The sequence below is a fragment of the Homo sapiens genome, chromosome 5 (genome assembly GCF_000001405.40).
Source record: "Homo sapiens chromosome 5, GRCh38.p14 Primary Assembly".
Classification (NCBI taxonomy): domain Eukaryota; kingdom Metazoa; phylum Chordata; class Mammalia; order Primates; family Hominidae; genus Homo; species Homo sapiens.
The window spans coordinates 170500710-170524127 of NC_000005.10; the positions used below are offsets into that span (position 1 = coordinate 170500710).

Below are 23418 nucleotides of genomic sequence, written 5' to 3' on the forward strand. Positions count from 1 at the left end.
TTGGCTGCATTGTACAGTGGGCACGTGCGTATGTGTGTGTATTTATCTGCAAATAATACCCATGTCACAAGGCGTCCGCAGGAATAAATGAGCTATTGTGCATGTAAATATCTGGTACATGGTAGATACATGAATGAATGAATATTTGTTGAATAAATAAGTGAATGAATGAATCTTCACTTGGCAGAGCATGTGTCTTCCTTTAAGGGGCAAGGATGATCTGGTAATCATCAGTTTCTGCTTACTAACTGGGTCACTGAGCAAAGAAAAGAGACTCACTCATTCATTTATTCAGCATAGGTTGGCTGCACCCCTGTCAGAAACCGGAGGTTAAGCAGAAAGTAGAGAGTTAAATCAGTATGTAAAGCAGTTAAAACAGTCCAGAGGGAGAGACAGGCAAGGAAAGGAACAATGAGAAACAAAGTAAGGAGTGCTCTGATAAGAAGCCCTGGGTGCTATGGAAACCACAAGCAGGGCACCGACTCAGGGCCAGGGAGGGATCCCTGGAGGAGATGACATCTGCAGTAGATATTCCAGGGTAAGCAGCAGGTGGCCAGAAGGAGAAAGAGGTGAGGAACATTCCAGGCAAGGGGAACAGCACGTGCAAAGGCCCTGAAGGAGAACCACAACACGCATCTGAGAAATAGTGAGGGGTCTGGGTGGCTGAGCCACAAAGGGAACACCAGGGGTCAGGGAGGATTTGTAGAAGAAGCCACAGGCCACAAAAAAGACCTCATAATTCATGTTCAATGGTTTGGATTTTATTTTGGTGACTTCACTTTATACCTACTGTTCAGAGGCAGCCAATTGCAAACACGTCCAGAAGCACTTTGCTATTTCTGATCTGCAAAATGGAGCAAGTCATCTGTACTCTGCTTCTTCAGTGGGTTGTGGGGAAGCAGAAATGAGAGGATGACATTCTAGCCTTTTGTGACCTCTCAAGTGCTGTCCTTATGGTCATTCAGGTACCATGAAAATTAGCAGAGCCCCAAGGGGGAAGTAGCTTGGTGCTCACCCAGTGGTATCCCTGACAAGTTGGCAAAGACACCCAGGGTGGCTTAACTTTCTCCTCAGCAAAGAGCTCTCCTCTGTTCCCTGAATCCTGGATATCCCACTGGGTCCTCTAGTGACCCCAAGCTTCAGCCTCGCATGCCCTCTTCTCGAACAGAGAAGGCAGGAGGGAAGCAGGGACCAGCCCCTGCTCCATCTTCCAGGATTCCAGGCCTCCCTGGCCTGGACAAGCCCTGAGCTGGCAGTTAGGAGAGCAGAGGTTGTGAATCTGGTGGGACCCCCAGCAGGTCTTTCTGGCTCAGTGCCCTCATCTGTGAGCAGGGGTTCCCCAGGAGACCACGACAGAGGCCTGGAACCCAAGTTCTAATCCCACATCCTGGCTGGGCAACTTCAGGCAAATTTCTAACACAAGGTAAGCCTCAATTTCTCTCTGGGGTAATGATCAGGCACCTGCTTAATTCACAGGGGTTTGGTGGGCATCACGTGGACAATGTGGTTGCACAGCAGTGGGCAATGCAAAGGAAAGGAAGTATGTTAGTAAGTGCCCCTCCCCTGTTGCACAAAACAGGACACATGCTGGGATTGCAGAAAAGCAATAAATGCTGCACAGGTGAAGAAAACTATTCAAGGACCCTGGCCAAGTCACAGGCTACCTGTGGCCCTGAGGGGACAGCTCATGGGTTGGCATTAGGGGAAGCAGCTCTCAAGGGGCCTGTATCCTGGGGATTCAACTCTGTGCCTATGTGGCATTGAGCCTGTGTGAATGTGGTGACTGTCATGCTGTTTTGCTGTGTGTGCGTCTGCATGCCTGTGTGTTTGTGTGTCTCTCCACCTTCGTGGGGGGCAACTGTAGGTGTATTATGAGCCTTGGGTCTGTCTGTGTGTACAATAGCAATGTCTGTGCGGACTTAAGGACCTGCGCCCATATGTTTGTGGGACTTTCTGGGCATGCATGCTTGTTTATGAGGCCATACATCCGGGTATTCTGTGAACTGCTAGCATGGTGTGTATCTGTGTGGCAGACAGAAAATGGCTGGGTGGGATTGTAGGGGGCAGCTTGGGCAAAGGATCCTCAGTGTCAATCAAAATGGGTCTCAGTGGGAACCCAAGCAGCTCAGACTTGGGGGAGGGGAAGCTCTTCCTCCACCTTCCAGGGAGCAAACCTTGCAATTCAACACCACAAGGCTTTGAGTCCACAGGCAGGGACGCAAACTTTGCCCATTGGGTGAGACGCCACTCACAGAAGGGAAATGGCTTCCTAAATCTAATCATTGCCCCTTCAAGCACTAACAACCCGTGCCCAGGAGCTGATGGCTAATGAATTATTGAGCTGGAAAGGGAGAAGAGGTAGAACCAAGGAGGAAAGAAACAGAAAAATGAGAGAGCAGGCCGGGTGGGGTGGCTCTCGCCTGTAATCTCAGCACTTTGGGAGGCCAAGGCGGGTGGATCACCTGAGGTCAGGAGTTCAAGCCCAGCCAGCCCAACATGGCGAAACCCCGTCTCTATTAAAAAATACAAAAAAATTTAGCTGGGCCTAGTGGTGGGCGCCTGTAATCCCAGCTACTCCGGAGGCTGAGGCAGGAGAATCGCTTGAATCTGGGAGGCAGAGGTTGCAGTGAGCAGAGATCGCACCACTGCACTCCAGCCTGGGCAACAGAGCGAGACTCCGTCTCAAAAAAAAAAAAAAAAGAAAAAGAAAAATGAGAGTGTAAGGGCCCAGAGGGGCTGAGGGCTCCTTTCTCCTCCCCAACTCCCTGTCACTAGAAGGTGGGCCCTGCCATAGGAGGATTCTGCAGAACCCTCAAGGACCCGCGGAGCAGGACGGCACCTTCTTCCCATGACCACCCATTTGGATGTGTTTTTCACCCCTTTCTGGGTGGGGCAGACTTTCCCCCTCCCCATGAGTTCAGGCAGTGGGTTAAATAAGATTTCCCTTGAAGTCGAATGAAATCACAATGCACCACACACAGGGACACACACACACACACACGCACGCACGCACATCACACACACACACACACACACACACACACACACACACACATACACACACACAGTCTCCCTGGGGCCAATCTACTGCCCCCTGAACCTCACCCATCAGCCAGGTGCCTGGCCCCGGGTCTGTCTCTTAGGGTTACATGCTCCCGGGGCTCCCGCACATACCCCGGCAGATGAGGGTGCGCAGGGGTGAGGGCGCAGGGCTGGGCGTCCCCCGCCCCCACCGTGCAGCCCTCGCCCCCGCCCCGCCCCTCCGTAGTTGCCCGCCCGCCGCCCCCTCCGCCGCCCCCTCCGCCGCTCCGACTCTCGCCCCGAGCGCTGGCAGCAGGCAGCAGGCAGCAGGCGGGCGCGCTGTGGCTCCGCGCCGCGCGGTCCGGGCTCTGTTCATTCATGATTGGTACTCGGCCCTCCGAGACCCAGCCCGAGCGCAGGGAGGGGAGCCGAGTGTGCGGCAGGAGGGGCGGGCGGACGGCGGCTCCCGCACCGCACGCGGCGCTGGCTCGGCAGCCTCGGCCGGGCGGCCGCTCTGGCCCCGTGTCCAGTGCCAGGCAGGCTTCAGGGCACCGTCCTCGGCCCTGGGCGAGGGAACCGCCGGGCCGGGTCCTCGCGCGGGGAAGCGGTTCCGAAGGCTCGCGGGGAGCGGCTAGCCCTGAGTCCCTGCATGTGCGGGGCTGAAGAAGGAAGCCAGAAGCCTCCTAGCCTCGCCTCCACGCTTGCTGAATACCAAGCTGCAGGCGAGCTGCCGGGCGCTTTTCTCTCCTCCAATTCAGAGTAGACAAACCACGGGGATTTCTTTCCAGGGTAGGGGAGGGGCCGGGCCCGGGGTCCCAACTCGCACTCAAGTCTTCGCTGCCATGGGGGCCGTCATGGGCACCTTCTCATCTCTGCAAACCAAACAAAGGCGACCCTCGAAAGGTAAGCCACCTTCTTCCTTTTGTTCCCCTGTCTGGGCTTGGGGGTGCTAGGCGCCGAGGTGGGCTGTGCCACCTGCCTCCCTTAGTCCGGACTCTCCTCTCCACGAGGAGCCCGGACAGGTGCTTGTATCCAAAGGAGAGAGAAATCGGCGGGAGGGCTGGTGTGAACACCCAGAGGAGGGAGCCGGAGTGGACGTCTGCCCCAGCGGCAACTGGACCCCTCTGGGGCACCAGGTGTCGGGACTCTCCTCCTGGGGAAATCTCTGAGAGCCGAAGGAAGCGGCATGTTCACAGGTGGGGGTGACCGGATTCTCTGGTGGAAGTGTGGTGAAGCTCTTCCCATTCCCATGACAGCTGGCGTTTGAGCACTCAGTGAGGGTGCTGCCACACTCCCACACTCCTCCTAGGCGGCTATGCCAGGTGCAGACCTGCGAGTCCCTTCATCAGGAAGAGTGCTCTGTCTGCACCCCCAAAACCTCTGCAAGCCAAAAGGAATCAGCTGCTGCCAGGGGTAAAACTCCCAGGCCTCATGTCCTGGTGGCTCCGGGAGTCAGGAGGAGCAACCGTGAAGGGCTGGCTGCGAGCTGAGCTTACATCAAGGATTAAAAAGCATAATATCGTGGAGTCTCTTCTGCCTGGACGCTGTTCCTTCACCACCTGTCCCCAGCCGAGGCATGGCTGATCTCACCATCCGTGGGAGAGTCCTCAAATGGGTCCAGGTGAAGTTGGAACCAGTGTGTTGGGCCCTGGAGGACAATGCAGGTCTCCTTACCAGCAGTTCAAAAGTTAGTGGTTGGAATAAAGAGACTGGAAGCAGTTAGGAAACGGGAAATGATGGGTTTTGTTTTGTTTAATGTTCAAATGTCACTACGAGTGGTAAGATTTTAAGCAGCTTGACACTTAAACATTCAAATTCTACCATCAGAGCCCCCATCCTGGATACAGGTGGGAGTTAAGCTCCTACCCTACAGGCCTGATAGTGAGTAGAAGTGTAATGGGGTAAGGGACCCCAAGTGAACAATAAGTCTCCTCTTAGAACTTGGTTGGTCTCACCCTGTTTAGAACCACAGAGATCTCCATAAGTAAGCTGTCCTTGAAACCCCCTGGAAGAAGGGGTCCCAGCTTCTGGCCCAGCTCCCAGGGGCATCAGGCTGGCTGAGCCCCGAGGAAAGAGATCTCTGGGTGCAGATCTTAGGTGCTGAAGCTGGGTTGGCATTTACATCCTAGAACATAGGAAGAGGCTTTGGCCCATTTGTCCAGCTGAGTTACATGTCCTGCTGGCAAGGAAGGGACTGGTTGTCCTGTTACCAGTCCTGACCAGAACAGGTCTGCAAAGCTCAGCCCAAGGCCTTGACATTCTAAGCCTCACCTCTCACAGATCCTGGGATGCTGCTTGACTGGGGACAATTTTCAGCGCCAAATATAGGTCTTCTCCCTCATCATCTGTCTGACCACCATGCGGTCTCAGAGGCCAGGGGACTGTGGGGACAGGAAAGTCAGGGGCTTGTTTTTAAATATTTTCAATGCCTGTGGCTCTCCTGGGAGCTGGGTGTCACAGAAAGATCTCAAGCCCTAGAGTCAAGTGGAGTCTGGGTGTGAATCCCAGCTCCATCACTCCCTGCCTCTGGGACCTTAGGAAAGTCCCCCGCACCTCCCTAAGCCTCAGTTTTTCATCCATGAAATTCGTATGCTACTTCCCGGAGGGAAGGGTATGTAGGAAGTAGAGGAAGGGAAGACTCTGCCTCATATACTGTGTTGGCTGCAGCCACCAGGGACCCAGAGGAAGTTGTTGTAAGGATGTGAGAATCAAATGAATGATGAATAGGGAGCTCCGTGCATAGGGCTGGGAAAAGAGTAAGAGCTCAGACATTGCTGTCTACCATTTCCTTCTCCTGCCCCAAACATCCAGGAATTCACCCTGGATGAATTCCTGCAGGATTCCCAGAGTACAAAGGTCTTTGCTTCTGTCTCCTCGGATTCTAAGAAACAGAAGAGGGGGTACTGGCATTCAGTGTGTCCCTACTGTGTGCTTGCCATAATGCTCGGTGTTTTATCAACAACTCTCATTTAACCCTCACAACAATGTTCGTTTGAGGCTCATAGCAGGTTCGGGGCCAATGGGTGGACTCCCAAGACAAGCTATCGAAGCACTGGGCACTCAGCCCTTCCTGCACAAAGCCCACTGGCGTGAGTTGTCCAGGGGTCCAGCTGCATATGTTCCCCCAGGTATTTGCCCCCGAAGCACAGTCATCTCACTGCCTTGCATAGTGGAATGCTAATCAGCAGAAGACCCTTCTATGGGAGGCAGCTTGGAAACCTGGAGGAAGCCCTGGCTGAGGAGGCTAGTGGTCAGGGAGCCTATCCTGGCCAGGTCACTTTTCCCCACTGGGGCCTCGGTTTCTTCTTTGTAAAGGGAGAAACTTACATTAGGCATTTCCTCAGGTTCCATTTGGTTCTCAAATTCTAATATTTTTATGGTTGATGCTCTCACCAGAGCTGCTGCTATGATCTCAGAGACGTGAGGCTCAGATCTAATTAGAAGCAACCGGAAGAGAGCAGTTGGGATTTTTCAACTCAGGAATCAGTCTCCCTGCTGGGTTCAAATTCAGGCTCTGCCACTTACTAGCTGTATGACTAAGCCTTGTTTTCCTCAACTATAAAACAGAGATAGTAGTAGTTACCATCTTAAAATAGCTGTTGTGTTGTGTGGATTTCAAGGATCATGCAAGTCAAGCATTTAGCACAGTCTCTGCTACATAAGTGGTCAGCAAATTTGAGGTACTATTCAATTTATGGCTCTATTGTTTGGGGCTTCCAAATGTCCAGAGTAAGGCCATTTTCGAAGTAGGCAGTACATCTGAGAGCCTTAACAGCTCATTTCTGGAAACCTTATCCAGCCCTATCCAGATAACTAGGACCAAAAACCCCAGCACACAGATGCTCGTCCCTTGCTTCAACCCTCACTGACCTCTACTCTGTGGCTTGTCCTGAAAACATCAAAGCCTGCTCAATTAAAATCCTGAATGCCTTGATAATACAATTTAGAAACATACATAGTTTTTAAATAGGGCAAAAACTCTGCATGATTAGTGCTGCAAGAAGATATCCAGCCCAACCTGGGTGTTCAGGGAGCGCTCTCTAAAGGCAACAGAAATCTAAAGTAATTTAAGAGCCATGCCACTGAATAAAAATATTCAGGTTCATTTCCTGTCCTTCTCTCTGTTTGGGATCTTTGTGTGTCTTTAATTAAAAGTAGGAGAGCCCTGCTTTTGGGATTCAGCCTCTGCATCCCAGTCCCAGATAGAATTTCTGACTCTAGCAGTTTTGCATGTGCATGACACACCAAGGACACTGCTCCTGGCCTTGAATGGGTAAGTGAGACAGGCTAGGGCATTGAGGAGAACCAGAGGAGGACCATACAGGTGCAGCTGCTGGGCTTGTCAGCGGGGCAGGAGAATTTAGGGACAACATCACTAGACCAAGGCCATCTCAACAGAGAATTGCCTAGAAGCAAATAATCCCACACTACAGGGGTGGCTGGGTTAGAAATCCTCCATGACCGAGTGCAAGCATGCAGAACTTTCTGAAAGGGCTGAGCTTCGGATCTCCAGAATAGTCATAGCATAGGTGAGCTATGACTCAACCCCATGGCTATCAGATGCTTTTTCTAAGGCCACACGGTGAGTTAATAGGGTACTGGTTAATATAGGGCCAAACATGGGAATGTTCCCGATAGTCCCATATTTGCTCCTAGATCAATGAGCACCTCAGGGAACTTATGGAAGCAGAGTGTACCTGATGAGACTGGGTTTAGGGTTTATTGGTCAGGGCAGCATTTTCAACCTAAAGATATGGGAGAGTGACAAGAGACAGACAGGCATAGAGAAGCAGTAGCCGTGTTGTCACATAGTCCTGAGCCCAAGGGGCAGGCCTTTGGCAAGTCATTTCACCTTGTAAATGCTAGTTTCTTTATCTGCAAAAGGAGAATCCTGATGTATAGAAATGTTTGTGCTTTGGTCTTTACCCATCTTTGCATCTTTGCCTGTCCCTTTAATTCTATAATGCTCTCCCACCCCACCCCTTGCTGCCTTGTCTAATAGTTAAAATTCCACCGACATTCCAAGACCTCACTCAGCAATTTCCATATTCAGGAAGCCTTCTCCAAGCCCCAGAGAGAAGTGATTTCTCCCATCTGAATTCCCATATTCTTTTAAGGTGTACATTTTCTTATGACTCACAATCGCGCTTGGAATTAGACAATCAACGGAGGTGTTAACCCCCTTTCCCCACCACCAGAGGTCAGGGTTCTTGGGGGTAGGAGCTCGTCTAACTCATCCTTCACAACTCTCTGCTTGGTTCTGTGCACATAGTAGGTACTTAATAAAAATTTTCCTAGAGTAAACTATAAATAATGGAATGGTTGGCCACTCTCCATTATTTGCTAGAATTGCAGACCCTGCAGGAAAAGTTAGCTTCCCACCGGAATTTCAGTTACCAGCCCTCTGCCAGGAATGAATTCTGTTGTTCGGTCTGCTGGCTTTGAATTGACTTTGTCCATGAAATGTACCGAATCTGTTTACCATTTAGCAGGAAAGTGCTGAGAACAGTGATTCTACTCCCACTCCCTCATAATCACAAAGGTATGAGGAACCCACACCCAGCACCAGGCACAGTTCTGGTCCCTCAATCCCAGAAGAAGCTCAATGGAGCTCAAGATAAACAGAAAGAGAGAGATGGAAAAGAATGGAAGACAGAGGAGAAGGACTTACTGCCTAAAATCAGTGGGATTGTTTTGACTTGGTCTCTGGAAAAGGGCCAAGGCTTAGACCTCTTTGTCTGCCTGGAAGGGCCTTGCTCCATGAATGCTTTGTAAATCTGTAAGTGAATAAGTGAGCATATGCTTTAACAAATAAGTGAAAAGATGAATGATTGAATGAATGGGGGAAGCAGTAAAGGAGTGAATGAATGAAGCAACAAATGAATTATCAACTGAATGACAGAAAGAATGATCGAATAAATGACCACATGAATGAATGAATATGTCCATAAATGAATGAATGATGAAGTGCCAGAACAGCTATAATTAACAGCCTATCTTTTCACAAAGAGCATTGATAGTCATCTCCCCAAAGTTGAAAAATATAAATTCAGTCAAGAAGAGTCCTGGTAATTTTTTGGATACTGGTAGGTGTATAGTGTCTTTGGAGAAGGTGAGGAGATGTCTCTAAGTTTTCACTCTTTTGCTGAAACAAAAGCAGGGACTGACTCACAGTGATTCCCCTTGTCTTCCCTTATATTTCAGGTTCGTTCACCCTTGCCTGGGTGAGATCAGAATCTGTATATTTATCCACTCATTTATTTGTTCACTTAGCCAGTCCCACAATTGTCCTTCAGCATTGCTTCCCTGCCTAAGATCCACTCTGGCTTCCTCATCCTCCCTCTTCCTCCATCTCCTCATTCACCTGGCCAACTCCTACTTATCTTTCAAGGCCTCATTCAATGCCACCGCTCTGGGAAGCCTTTCCTGGCTTCTGTAGGCAGAGCACATCTCTGCCTTCTCTCTTTCCCCATAGCTGCTGCTGCTTCCCTTAACTACAATTCTGAACACACTATGAGGTTGTCATTATGGGTTTACACATTTATCTCTCTGACTAGCTTTCAGGCACTGAGTCTTATCCCAGGGCCTCTGTCAGGCCTGACACTGCATCCAGGCTTGATGGATGCTGGCGGCATGGAGGTAAGGATGGATGGGCCAGAGTGTGCGTTCTTGATGGCTCTGAGCGGTGTGAGAATGCGGCGGTGCAGATGAGGAATCCAGGTCTGCTCCTGGGGAGAAGCTCTGCAAAATTCTGCATAATGGCCGTGGAGCTGATGTTCCCATTCATCAGGCAGGGAAGGAACAGTTTTTAGAAAAGAGAGAGAGAGCCTAAGAGTCCTAGGGCCTTCAGAGAAACATCTCTTTAAATGCTTCCCCTTCCTCCGGGTAGTATTTTAAATAGGTCACCTTCTGGAAGTAGTGGTAGTCAGTTGGGATATTGCTAGCTTCCCGTACCCCAGCCATGGGAGTAGTACTTTGGATTAAATCTTGTTATTCAAGGCCAGACTAAAAGCCTCATTGGTGCGGTGGGGGGAAGTAGGAACCACATTCCACTCAAATCAGGAAGCTAGAAGTAGGATTGCATTATGGCTATGAGCACCGCGTTAAAATAAGAGTCTTGGGATTGAACTCCCTTTCATTGGTTCATAGCTGAGCCTTTCCAGGCCTCAGTTTCCTCTTCTATAAAATGGGGACAGTGGGCCAGGTATGGTGGCTCACATCTGTAATCCCAGCAGTTTGGAAGGTCAAGGTGGACAGATCACGAGGTCAGGAGTTCAAGACCAGCCTGGCCAATATGGTGAAACCCCATCTCTACTAAAAATACAAAAATTAGCCGGGCATGGTGGCATGCTCCTGTAATCCCAGTCACTCAGGAGGCTGAGGCAGGAGAATCGCTTGAACCGAGGAGACGGAGGTTGCAGTGAGCCAAGACTGCACCATTGCACTCCAGCCTGGATGACAGAGCGAGACTCCGTCTCAAAAAAAATAAAAATTAAAAAATGGGGACAATGACAGTGTCTCCCTATAGGGCCACGTGAGGGCCAAGAAGGAATTGAACATGGTGCTGCACACCAGGTGAGTTGGCAGTGCTGGCTTTGCTGCTGCCTTTTGTCCCATCTCAGGACAGGCCCCTTCCTTCTGCCTTGCTCCACTTGGATGATGACGGTGTTACCCTTGGTAATCTCCCCATCCCTTTGAGCTGTGGCCTCTGATTCCAGCCCTCTGAGATCCCGAGCCACCATATCCATGGTCACTGGCATTCTAAGCAGTTTCTCTGGTGATTCCTAAGGGAAGCTGTCAACTTTAGATGGTAAAAGCAATTCCCAACAGTGAGGTATGAAAATGCAGGTCACCCGCCAGGAAGGATAATAATACTAGCTCAAATGACTCTGGCCTCCACCCAGTGCCAGGCACCTTGCTCGGCTCTTTCCTGTGTTATTTTATTAACCCCAACCCTGGAGGACAAGATGCTATTACAGTTCTCATTTTGCAGTTGAGGAACCTGAGGCTCTAAAAAGGGAAGTGCCTTACTAAGGGTCATAGAGCTTGGGAATCGCAGAGCCTGGTTCTGGTTGATCCCAGACCCTGAGCTTCTAACTGCCATACTAACCTCCTCTCCTCCTGGCTTTGCCTCTGGAACCTTAGGGACCTGAGTAGAAAAACAGTCAAAACGGGTGCATGGATGTTGGGGAGAAGGCATTCAAGGATAGACTGAAGCACCTCATTAGCCACACGGAACAACTGAGCTACGTGCAGGCCCTGAGCAAAATGCTTTTAGCCCCATCCCAACCCCGCCTCCCCCTAGATCTGTTTCCATTTCATCTGACACTGTGGAAGCCTGAATATGAAATGATTGGGGGCAGAAGGCCAATTAGCAAATTCATTAATAGGATTAAACATCTCTCCTCTGCTCTAATCATTTATGTGAACTAAAATTTTCTCTCTTTGTTATAGCCATCATTGCCTGTCAGTGAAGATAGAGTGTTTAAATATCTTCCAAGTATGTTAGAATTGCAAACGTTCAGAACCAGGGACCAGGATCAGAGTTTTCACACGGTCCAGGTGGGCAAGGAGATCAGTCGGTTTACAAGTGGTTATCACTGCTAAGAAAAAAACACAAGAACTTGCTAGTACATTTGCAAGTACCTTACTGCTCATCTCCTTTCTCTCCTTAGCCACATGTTGGCCCAAATCACCTGCGTATGTTATACGGTTGTTATGAGCATACACTCCTGGTTAGGCAGACCTAGAATTCAAATCCTGGCTCTGCAACTCATTAGCTGTGTGACATTGAGCAGGTTACCTCGCTTCTGTGAACTTTCATCTCTACATAATCTAGAAAATGAAAGTATTGTTGATAATTCCCTCCCAGGTTGTTATGAGGATTAAATGCAGTCATGCATGTAAGATGCAGCGGTCAGCACTCAGAATGCGCTAAAGGTAAATTGTTACTATCTGGGTCTACTCCACTTAAAGTGTGCTCCTCCAACCAACAGCCTCAGCATCAGTTGGGAGCTTGTTAGAAATACAGAGTCCCGGCCAGGCGCGGTGGCTCACGCCTGTAATCCCAGCACTTTGGGAGGCCGAGGCTGGCGGATCATGAGGTCAGGAGATAGAGACCATCCCGGCTAACACGGTGAAACCCCGTCTCTACTAAAAATACAAAAAAATTAGCCAGGCGTGGTGGCGGGCGCGTGTAGTCCCAGCTACTCGGGAGGTTGAGGCAGGAGAATGGCGTGAACCCAGGAGGTGGAGCTTGCAGTGAGCCGAGATCGCGCCACTGCACTCCAGCCTGGGCGACAGAGCGAGACTCCATCTTGGAAAAAAAAAAAAAACCTCAACTCAGTGAGACCTACCCAGTCAGAACCTGCATTTTAACAAGATCACCAGATGGTTTATATGCCCACTGGAGTCTGAGGAATACTGGCCTAAAGTACAGATTATGGAACTATGTGTATTGTATTACACAAAATTATATATCAAGCCAGAAGAGGCTTTTGCTAAGACTTCTGATTTAAGCCTCATTTTACAAATAAGAAAATAGAATCCAGAGAAGGTGAGTGGTTTGCCCACAATCACACAGCTCAAGTGTTAGGCCTGACATCCGAACCCCAGCCCTGGTCATCTCATATAAATTGTTAAGAAGTCAGATTTCCAGATTTGCATTTCTGCAATCAAGCTTGTCTGTTTTTCTTTCTCTCTCTTTCTTTTTAACAACAAAGAAGTGCAGGATGATGTACGCCCATTAAGTTTTAGTTTACTCATTTTAAATGTTATTCCAGCCAACAGAGATCCTGAATCTTGACTCCACCAGCCATCATCTTAGCTGTACCTCCAAGTTTTCTGCTACCTGAAGAAATGATAAGGAGGCATTCTAGGTCTTTATCTAAGTTGCTTCTAAGAACATGGGCCAGAACAGGGTGCAGGACAGAGCCATGTGGACTGCAACTAGAGACTTGCCTGCATAATGGATTTCACTGATAATGTTCAGAATCCCAGAGCAGGATGGCAGCCTGGTTTACATACAGAGCCTTTGTGTGGGATTTGAAGCCAGAAAATGTGACTAAAGTAGGAGTCTAAACAGACACAGGTAGGGCCTGGGGAATGAAAGTCAAATGCCTTTTCCAGGGGGTCTAGTAGGACCTCTCTGTTGGTGGGGATCCCCCAAAAAAGTAATCTTTTTATTTTTGTAGGAGTCCTGTAATGGTTTCATTATTATTCTCACTTTGCAGAGTAGGAAACGTAGATGCAGGGAGGTTCTTGATTGGCTAGTGATTAGTAAGCAAGGACTTGAAGTGGATCTGATTGCGAGGCACTCCACCACCTGGGCTCCTGCCTGCAGCTGGAGGGCATATCCAGGACAAGCAAGCCTCTGAGCCCCAGGAAGAGGCTGAGCAGTTACAGCTAGTTTCCCAACTCCCAGGAACTGAAAATGACAGCCTCCTCTTGGCCCCATCAGCTCCTCACCCATGCCAACCCTGGACCCAGAGTGAGGGATGTTCTGGTGGAGACCATGAAGCTCCCAGCTGCCTGGGGGAAGCTGGCACATTTGCATCCGTGTGGCTGAGGCTGCACTTTCTCTCCATCTCTGGGATTCGCCCATGTATGACTCTCCCAGATGTCCAAATTGTGCACTCAGCAGGGGTGTCTTCAGGAGGCTTCCCCACCCATCGAAATCAGGGCAGCAAGGGGCTCCCCTTGTCTTCTTCCCTCTTTGCATACATCCAGCCCTGGGCTGATTAGGACTCTAAGCCCTGTAGGCCCTGACACTAAAATAATCAGGTCCTCCCACCACTGCCCCGCCCTGCCTCACCCCACCAAGGGCTACACAGGCATTTCAAAGGAGAAACAGTAAAATAAGTTTAAGGAAGTCTGCCAAATTTGGATTTTTCCCATGTTGACTACTTTAGTGACTTTTCTGAAATAAAATGTGCTTTCAAAACACAATTTTTGATGCCTCTACTTTGCTAGTGCTTTAAGCATCTCTTGAGTGTGCCTGTGAGGTATTTCAGCATTGGAGTTGGAACCAGACAGGAAAAGGAAAGAAACCGATCTGTATCGGGCACCTGCTGCATGCCAAGGACTGTGCAAGGTGTTGACAAAATAACAACAGTAACAAACATAACATTTAAATCGTCCTTGTGACATTTATATAGCAATCTGTGCCAAGTACCACTCTAAGCGCTTTCGGTACATTAAGCTAATTTAATCCTCACAACAACCCTATGTGGTAGGTAGTGTGATTATTCCCATGTAACAGATGAAATCTCACACTATGAGAGACAGGCACTGATCCCCCTATTTTATAGATGAGGAAACTGAGGCTTGGGAAGAAGTGACTTGCCCAAGTGCCCCGATGCCTGGTGGAAGAACAGTGTTCACACCAGCTTTGGCCACTTCCAAAGCCCTTGATGTTGACACTCCAAATGCAGGCCTCACTCATTTCCTAGAAGCGCCTTATGATTTGATATGTCCTCAGGGTGCATTATAAGAGGAGGGAGGAAAACCTGGGACTACAATGAGCATTGAATCTTGTCCTGATCTTCTCAGGGACCCTCTGTCATTCCCGATTGCCTATTGCATCTGTTCTCACCTGGTACTACCATTCCCTCCTCCCTGGTTTTTCCCTTGCTAAGTGACCACTCTATACGTTGGTCCATATCATGTAGCCTCTGCTGGAGGCAAGTCTGGTTCCCATCTGCCTTCCCCTGAAGAAGAAGCTGCTGGAAAATTAGAGTTATGTTGGACACAGTCTTTGTCCCCAAGGAACTTCTCTCTGGTCATAATCATTATATTAACAGCAAACCTATAGCATGCTATGTGCTAGACACTTTAGCAACTTGGTTTTATGTAAGCCTTACAGTATCCCCAGGAAGTGAGCACTATTACTAGACCCTTTCCAGATGAGGACACTGAAGACTAGAGGGCATAAGCAAATGTCCAATGTCTCACTTCTCATAAGTGGAAAAGCCAGGATTCGAACCCAGATGGTTTGCCTCCAGTGCCTGCATGCTGAATCACTGGACTAGGCTGGACCTGAGCATTTAGAGGACATTATAGATTATGTAACACTGTGGGGATTCAGAGGATGGAGAAAGCACCTCTATCTGAGGGGCAGGGGCTGGAGAATTAGAGAAGATGGCCGAAAGAGGCGGCATTAGAGCTCAACAAAAGAGCTAGGGGTTGGCCCAGGCAAGAATGTAGGTTAGTGAAGTTCTAGGCAGAAGGAACAGGATAAGCAAAGTCACAGAGGCAGGCAACAAGAAGGGGAAAGAAATGAAAACTGACAGTGATGTTTTGTATGCTTGTGACTTGGAGGATGTTAACAGAAAGAGGATGCCATCAGAAGTGGGAGGCAAGGAGCAGAGTCAGGCTGTCCATGTTCAGGAGAATGGGACAAGGTCCTAGGAGGTAGTAGACAGCAAGGATGAGGAAAGCACCAAGCAAGTAGGGATCGAGACTGTGCCCTCTCAGCACCACCCTTGTCCCCCTAAGTGTCTCCCCGTGATCACTGCAGCTTACATTTGATTCCTCCTTCTCCTCTCCCAGGGAACTTACTATTTGTCCCCATGATTTAGCCTTTGATTACCTTGAACTGTTCTATCATCATTCCCTGTAAACACGCTTGACTCTCCAGCAAGAGTGACCTTTCCTCAGAGACCTGGACCTTTCTTTCTTCCCTTCTCAGCATCTTCGAGCATCCCAGGACAGTACTGGGCAAAAGACTGGTACTTGGTGACTTGAACTGATATTTCACAGAGATGCACAAAGACTTGGGATTCCTTAATTAGAATTCATGCGGCAGAGAAACTTGGGCATGACTTTGAGGATCTCCCCCACCCGCCAACAGCATATTCACAAGATACGAACATCAAAGATTGTGGCTTGGTGTGAAAACATAGCACATTGGAGGCCATTCCATAACAGCTTAGAGCTGATGAAGAGAAAAAGATATGGTGTGTTGGGTGAAATAGAACTGAAGGCCAGTCCTAGCTTACCGTTTAGGAGCTGTGTGGTTTGAAGAAATTGTTTAGCCCCTTTCTGCATATCAGCTTCTTCATCTGTTAAACAATAACAATCATGGTATCAATTCATTGGATTGTCATGAGGATTAGTGAGATAATATGAATGTGTTTAGTAAGCTATAAGGCAGTGCATACGTGGTGGGGATCAGTATTAGATGACAATAATGGTCATAGCAATAATAATGATTTTGATAGTGGTGGTGATGATGTTTGTGATGGTGGTGTGATGGTGGTGATGGGGATGGTGTTATTCGTGGTGGTAATTATTATATTATGGATGTGTGAGTCTGTTTTCACACTGCTGTAAAGAACTACCTGAGACTGGGTAATTTATGAAGAAAAGAGGCTTAACTGACTCACAGTTCTACAGGCTTTCCAGGAGGCATGGCTGGGGAGGCCTCAGGAAACTTACAACTGTGGCAGAAGGCTAAAGGGGAAGCAGGCATATTTTCACATAGTGGTAGGACAGAGAGAGAGCAAAGGGGGGTGTGCTACATACTTTTAAACAACCAGATTTCATGAGAACTCCCTCACTATCACAAGAACAGCTTGGGGGAAACTGCCCCCATGATCTGGTCACCTCCCACCTTGTCCCTCCCCCAACATTATTAACTACAGTTCAACATGGGATTTGGGTGAGGACATAGAGGCAAACCATATCAAGGGATAATATTGTTGATGATGGCAGAGGTGTTGGTGACAGTAATGACAGTAGGGGCTTCATGGCAATAATGATGATGATGATGGAGGATTACAATATTAGTGGTAATGGTGATTATTATAGTATAGGTGATGTTGATTATAAGGGTGGTGGTGGTGGTGACAATGGTGATGGTGGTAGTGATGGTGATGATGATGATAATAGTAATGATGGTGATATGGTAGTATGACAGCGATGGTGGTATGGTGGTGGTGGTGATGATAGTGACGGTGGTGATGATGGTGATGGTGATGGTAGTAGTGATGGTGGTGATTATGGAGGTGGTGATGGTGATAATGGTAATGATGGTAGTGATGGTGGTGGTGGTAGTGATGATGGTGAAGTGATAGTGATGGTGGTGGTTATGGAGGTGGTGATGGTGATAATGGTAATGATGGTAGTGATGGTGGTGGTGGTAGTGATGATGGTGAAGTGATAGTGATGGTAGTGGTTATGGAGGCGGTGATGGTGATAATGGTAATGATGGTAGTGACGGTGGTGGTGGTAGTGATGATGGTGAAGTGATAGTGATGGTGGTGGTTATGGAGGTGGTGGTGACGATAGTGATGGTGGTGATGATAATAGTAATGATGGTGGTGTGGTCATAATGATAGTGATGGTGGTGGTGTGGTGGTAGTGATAGTTGTGATGAAAGGTGGTGATGGTGGCAGTGGTGATGATAGCAGTAGGGCTGATGGTGGTGACAGTGGTGATTATATAGTGATGTAAGTAGTAGTGTTGTTGGAAGGATGATAGTGGTAGTGGTGTCAACAGCACTGGTGAATTTAAGGCAATCATTCCCTTTGTCCAAACTATCTTCTTTGACTAGGCTGCACAGAAGGATTTCCAACCCCCAGAACTTGAATTCCCCCAGGTGTATTTGTCAAAAGTAGGAAAGAATAAGACAAATCAGCCCATGCCTTCAGATTTCTTCTCTTATTCCTGGTTGGTACTTTCAGAATCATTTTAATGTAAGCTGCTTTCTTGACATTTGCATTCCAGCACGTGGCACAGTGCCATGGCTGGTACATCGTCAAGTCTTCAATAAATATTTGTGAAATGAAGGGATGAACTTGCAGAAAGACACAGGCTGTTCTCTTGGATGAACTCATCAGAGTTAAATGTTTCATCTTTGAAGATAACGCGGGGGTTATCAGGCACATCAGAATATACCTGCATTAACACTATTGCCAGCATGAGCAATTCGATAACCTGGCAGGTTGGGAAGATTTCTTGGCACCTACACTGCCCCTGGAAGCCCCCGGATGTCAGCTTGGCCTGGCCCTTGTACCCACCACTTTGCCCTCAGAGGTAGGGTCTGTTCTACTGGGATTCTGTGCTAACTGATCACAGGGAACAGTGGGGAAAATGGCCTCTCCCACCGGCTGCTTCTGGAGAGTCCAAGCCTCCCTCCTCAGTGACCTTGCTGTGCGGCAGGAATGAGAGGCACATCCTGGCTCTGGAGATGTTCTTCTTGGCAGCAAGTCCTCCCCAATGGCAGGAGGGATTACAGAAGTGATTTCAGGTGCCAGTGCCTCCACAGCCCACCCACCCTCTGCTCTAGGCAAGTCAGAGGCACCTGTAGAGCCTCTGTTCTTTGTGTGTGGAAAAGGAATAATCTCGCACCAGCATTATAAGGTTCTCATGGTTTTTAGGGGTGTGGCATATAGTGAGGGCTCCGCTAATGGCAGCAGCTATTAATATTGGTATCATTTATTATTTCCATTACTAGTGGAGACATTGAGCTGATATATGGGTCAATAATGATAGACTAGAGACTTTGTGTGTCTCTTTGGTGGAACATGTGTGGCTTGGATTCACCTTGAATCCCCTGATTCTGGCACTCTGGCCTGAGAGTGTCCTCTGAATGAGTCATGTGGTGCCAGCGGGGTTGTTGAGATAGATAGATGGCCTGCAGGCATTTGGGTTCAAATGCTGTTCTGCTGAATAAGGAATACGATTTGGGGACCAAACACCCTTGGATTTAAATCCCAGACTTGTTTTTCCCTGGTGGTGTGGCCCTAGGGAAGTATTTCTGCTGAGCCTTACTGTCTTCTTGTGTCCAGTAAGGTTAGTAATATTGACCACATTGGCTCTTTGGGAAGAGGATGGAAAATAAAGTGTAAATGGAGCGAGGGAGGGAATTTGTCTCCGAGGCAGCACAGGACAGGAGGTAATGGAAAGACCAAAGTGGTTTTTGGATTAGAGCTGCCTGCAGCCTTTATCTGTCTATGGAGTTGATTTATTATTCTCCCAAATCTTGGAACAAAGTCAAGAAAGGGAGGAAGGAAGGGAGAGAGATGGGTAATAAGAGTATGGAAGAAAATGTAAACATGTAGAGTGCAGACAGCGGCTGCCTGCCCATAGCAAGCCCTCCGCAGAGGGAGAATTAATTGGCTGTTGTCATTTGTATTGTTGTGATTGTTCTTATTGTTGAAAGATGTAGAAGAGAAATCAGGTAGAAAGAATTCAAGCAAAGACAGGGGGTGAGCGAAAGCATGAAGAAATGAACAGAATCTGGGCTGAATTTCTTTAAGGTTATAAAGCACTCTATGCAATCTGAGGCAGGCAGTCCCCAAGCTTCTAGTACCACCCTGCGACTCTACGTGTCAAACAGGAGGAGTTCCTTAAAGGGTGTTTGGTGTGTGCATGTGTGTAGAGGGATGAAGCATGTATACCTCTTTGTATACATCAGACACTGTGCTGGGCACTGCCCTTAAATTATCTCACTTAATTGTCACACAGTCCTATGAAGCAGATGCTGTTATTGTCTCAGTTTTAGAGACAAGAAAACTGAAGCTCAGAGAAAAGAAGTGATGACCAGCCCAAGGTCACATAGCTGCTAAGTGCAGGGACAGCATCAGAACCCAGGCCCGTCTGTGCCCTTAGGTCTCAGAGATTCTACACCTACTACCTAGTATTAGCTCAATCTGACCCTTGGGGAAATTAAGCCCCAGGAAAGCTGTTTCCTTCAGTTGCGCAGCCAACTTGAAGCAATGGTAGACTGAATCCCAGTTCTGACTGCCAGCTCCACAGTCCCTCCCTGGGGCCTCGCACATCATTGGAACTGACAACACAAGAATCTTCCATCTCCTTCCTTCTCTTCCTCCTTTTCTTGGCTGTCATCCAAAACTTTAGGGGAATGCATTATAAACCAACTTGAGAGACAGAGAAAGGCTGTAGGAAGATCCAACTCAAAAACATTTTGGTGTTTGCTTTACCTCCGCCTGAGCGTCCCTGGAGATAAACCCTCCTCACTCTCGCCCACCATTGCTCTGCTATGTCAATTTCAGCAGCCGGACTCTGGGGCTGACATGCATTGCCCCTTCTCAACCCAGACACCACTTCCTTCAGGGAAGGCTCCACATAATGGTGAAGTGCACAGACTCAGAAGCCGGGCAGTGCTGTTCAGAACCTGGTTCTGCCTTTCTCGGGCGTGTGGCCTTGGATAAGTCATCTACTCTCTATGAGCCTCAGATCCTTCGTCTGCAAAACAGAGCTAATGCCTCCCTTCTTGGGTTGCTGTGGGGCTTAATTGAGAAGGTATATGTGAAATGCCTGCTCCATAATAGACACCCGTTTGAGAATTAACGTTTGGGTTGTTACAGTGTGAGCCCATGGGTCTCAGGCAACAGACTTGATAAATACAGGTTCCTCTGCAACCACAATCCTAGTCCTTAGCACAAGCATGACACTGCCTGGCATGTGCTATCCCTCCCATATCCATCAGCCATGGCAGACACAGATCCCTCATTATGAGACTTTTTTATTCTGAGCTAGAATGTGACCTCAGAATCTTTCTTAACACAATGCTTCAAGCAGTCACTACCAGTTGAACATAGTTGACATGGAAGATAGATGAAGTTTATTTGCATTCTAGTTCTCACCAAGTCCATGTTCACTGCTCCATCTGCTCAGTGCAGGCTGTCTCTCTGCTCTGTCTCCCACCTGCTTTTGTGAGTGTATGTTTCTATGTTTGTGTATATGTGTGTTTAAACTCCTCTTCCAGAGTGAAAGACCATTTCAGTCTTTTGTGTGCTGATTTGTAGAAATCATTGAACTTTCAGAATCCCATTTGCAATGTCATGTCTGTGGCTGGGGATCTCCAAGTAACATCAGCTTACGTCTGGGAAGGACAAGGGGAATCAAAGTTAGAAGTCAGGAGAGCAAAATCCACACACAGCATGCACCATCGGCCACCTTTAGGAGTGACACAAGAGATGGTGTTTGAATATAAATTTGAAGTCTTTCCAAAGATTTAACACTCCTTTGGCTGACAACCATAATCTCAAGGAGGTAGGCCTAGGCTAGAGCAATTATACTTTAGGGTAACCCTAGCTGCTATAACAAATAAACCCCAATATTGCAGTAGGCTGAAACATAGAATTGTTTTTATCATTCATATAACTTCTTGATGGGCCAGTAGCCTTCTTCCATGTAGTCACTCAGGGACCTAGCCTCCTTCCATCTTGTTGCTCCCCCAACCCTAAGGCATCCTCTACATCTAGGTGAAAGGGGAGCAGAAAATGTGGTCTCTGGCCCAGGAACAACTCTAGTCTTGGAGAAGCACATGATATAGTATGGAGATCACAGCCAGGCCTGCCACCGGCAGCAATTCAGGGCTGGGCACCAGATCAGCTGGGTGGAGTCCCAGCTGGCCAAGGAGTCTGAGCCCAGGTACTATGTGGTCATCTTGGGCATGGAACAGGGCAGCTCAAGGACCAGAGGTCAGCTGGCAGGGTCCGCACCAAGCCTATCCAGGGAAGCCCTGCCCTGATCATGGACAAGGCCTGTGTAATCCTGATGTCAGCTGCTTCCCTCCCGAGGACAGCCTGCAGCAGATGGTCAGAGCCTGTTGCCATTAAACATTTGAGTGGTTCCACCAGCATCCCGATGAGTCTGGGTTCACCAAGAAACATTATTGTAATGTGCTCCCCAGGCAGCTCTGCCTCAGGGAGAGACAATGCCAGGCATGACAACTTCAGCATTCTTGTTCTGCATGGCAGTTGCATTTCTCATTGTGGTTTATATGTTGGTCACATGATCTGAGCTAATGGGAGTATTCGCCTGACAGATGAGTCCCTTTTGCTGGGTGTGCCAGCAAAATCAGGCTTCCAAGCCCCCAAGGCTCACTGCCAGAGGCTGGGGAATTCGCCAAGGTAAATGCCACCTTGTGAGGTCTTTGGGACACAGCCAGCAGCCTCCCCAGGGCACCATTCCTGTCTCAGCATGAGGCTTCTCTGGCCAGCCCAATGGCATTTGGGAGCCACATCCACACCCCACGGGTCTGGGTCTGTTTCCAGCTGCACTGGGACATTCTGGCAGATTCTCCCTGATCTCTGTAAGGAAGAGTACAGCAGGAAGGAGAGGAAGCAGAAAAAAATTCCAATGCTTAGAGTTTTCCCTCTAAAGAGGACCTCCTGAGCCACTTCTGAACAGGACTTGGAACAAAGGAATCTTGGCGCTTTGATGATCGTGTCTGCAGCAGTTGTTGAAATGAGTCTGACACTCGCCAGTGCCTTAGTAGGAATTATAATTACATCAGGAGACCCCAGGCAACCAAGTAAACTGATTAGCTACTGCTCCGAGTTGATAGATTTTTTTCTCTCTAGGTCATAAATAGGGCTGTGGGAGATGGTGGAAGCATGCTGGTGGGAACAGGTCGAGATGGGCTGTACATTCAGGAAGCCCAACCAAGTGGTGTGGGCAGCTCCCCCTGCCCCACCCTGCCACCGGAAGAGACAGTCTGACAGGTGCCCAAGGTAGAGTTCAGTTCCCTCGGCCAGGGACTGCACTCCTGATCTTGCGTGCTGCAGAGAGCTGTCCTCAGAGCAGGCTGAGGGTGGCTGAACTGCTAGGCGATGCTCTGGGAAGCCCTCCGCCAGGAAAGCCGATGCTTTCTGCCAGGCATAATTATTGCATGGATAATTACACGATTCAGAGCCTGCTGGAGAATCCTGGGCTGGTGCCAGAGTAGAAAGGCAGGGTTCCGGAACTGCAGCCAGTGGCTGATTCTCAGAGTCGACTTTGAAAGAAGAGGGTAATCATTCCTCCTCCTAAGACTCCTACCTGGCTGGGCCAGGACATGGCAAACGTAAAGCTAAGGGAGGCGGGGAGTTGATGAGTTCTCTCCTCCACCCACTCCCTTACAGGAGGGGGTCCCCAGAGTTCTGACCTAATCCCTCTTCTTTACTCCCTGCACGTGTCACCTCCCTGGGACAATCCACCCCTGCCCATTAGCACATATATGCGGATGACACCAAGTGTCTTTCCAGCCAGGCATCTGCAAATGCATGCTGGGCATCTCCCTCACGTGTCTCCTCCAGCCCATTGCACTCCAGCCTGAGCCATTCTCCTCCTACCCCAGTCTGCCTCTCAGTCCATATTCTCTTCCCAGCCAGACATACCTAACCTCCCAGACCTCCACTAGGAACCCAGGAGTCCTAACCTGCTAGTCCTTTCCCACTCCCTGTGCACCATCCGAAGCCAGGTCATGTCAGTTCTACAGCAGATGTGTCTTGGCTCCTGCCTGTTCTCCCAGCACCACCCCCCAGTCCTCCGGCACAGCCCAGGTCTGGGCTCCATGGTCTGCCCTGGCTTTCTTGTGGTGGCCTCCTCCCTGGCCTCCCCACCCTCATCCCCTGGGGACCAGCCTCCCACTGCCTCCAGATC

General features: G+C 48.9%; 1 protein-coding gene across 6 annotated transcripts in view; it reads left to right on the plus strand.

Moving 5' to 3' along the window:
• The window catches only part of KCNIP1 (potassium voltage-gated channel interacting protein 1), a 383146-nt gene that overhangs the window by 147223 nt on the left and 212505 nt on the right, over positions 1 to 23418 (plus strand). For 4 of the 6 annotated variants that reach the window (NM_001278340.2, NM_001034837.3, NM_001278339.2 and 1 more), the window contains exon 1: positions 3311 to 3924. The exons of the other annotated variants lie outside the window; for them this stretch is intronic. Coding sequence is in view for 3 of the 4 variants with exons in the window: in NM_001034837.3 (NP_001030009.1) it covers positions 3864 to 3924 (61 nt within the window). In the remaining variant the exon portion in view is untranslated. Of the gene's footprint in view, positions 1 to 3310; positions 3925 to 23418 lie in introns of those variants that run through there. 6 annotated transcript variants of the gene reach the window in all.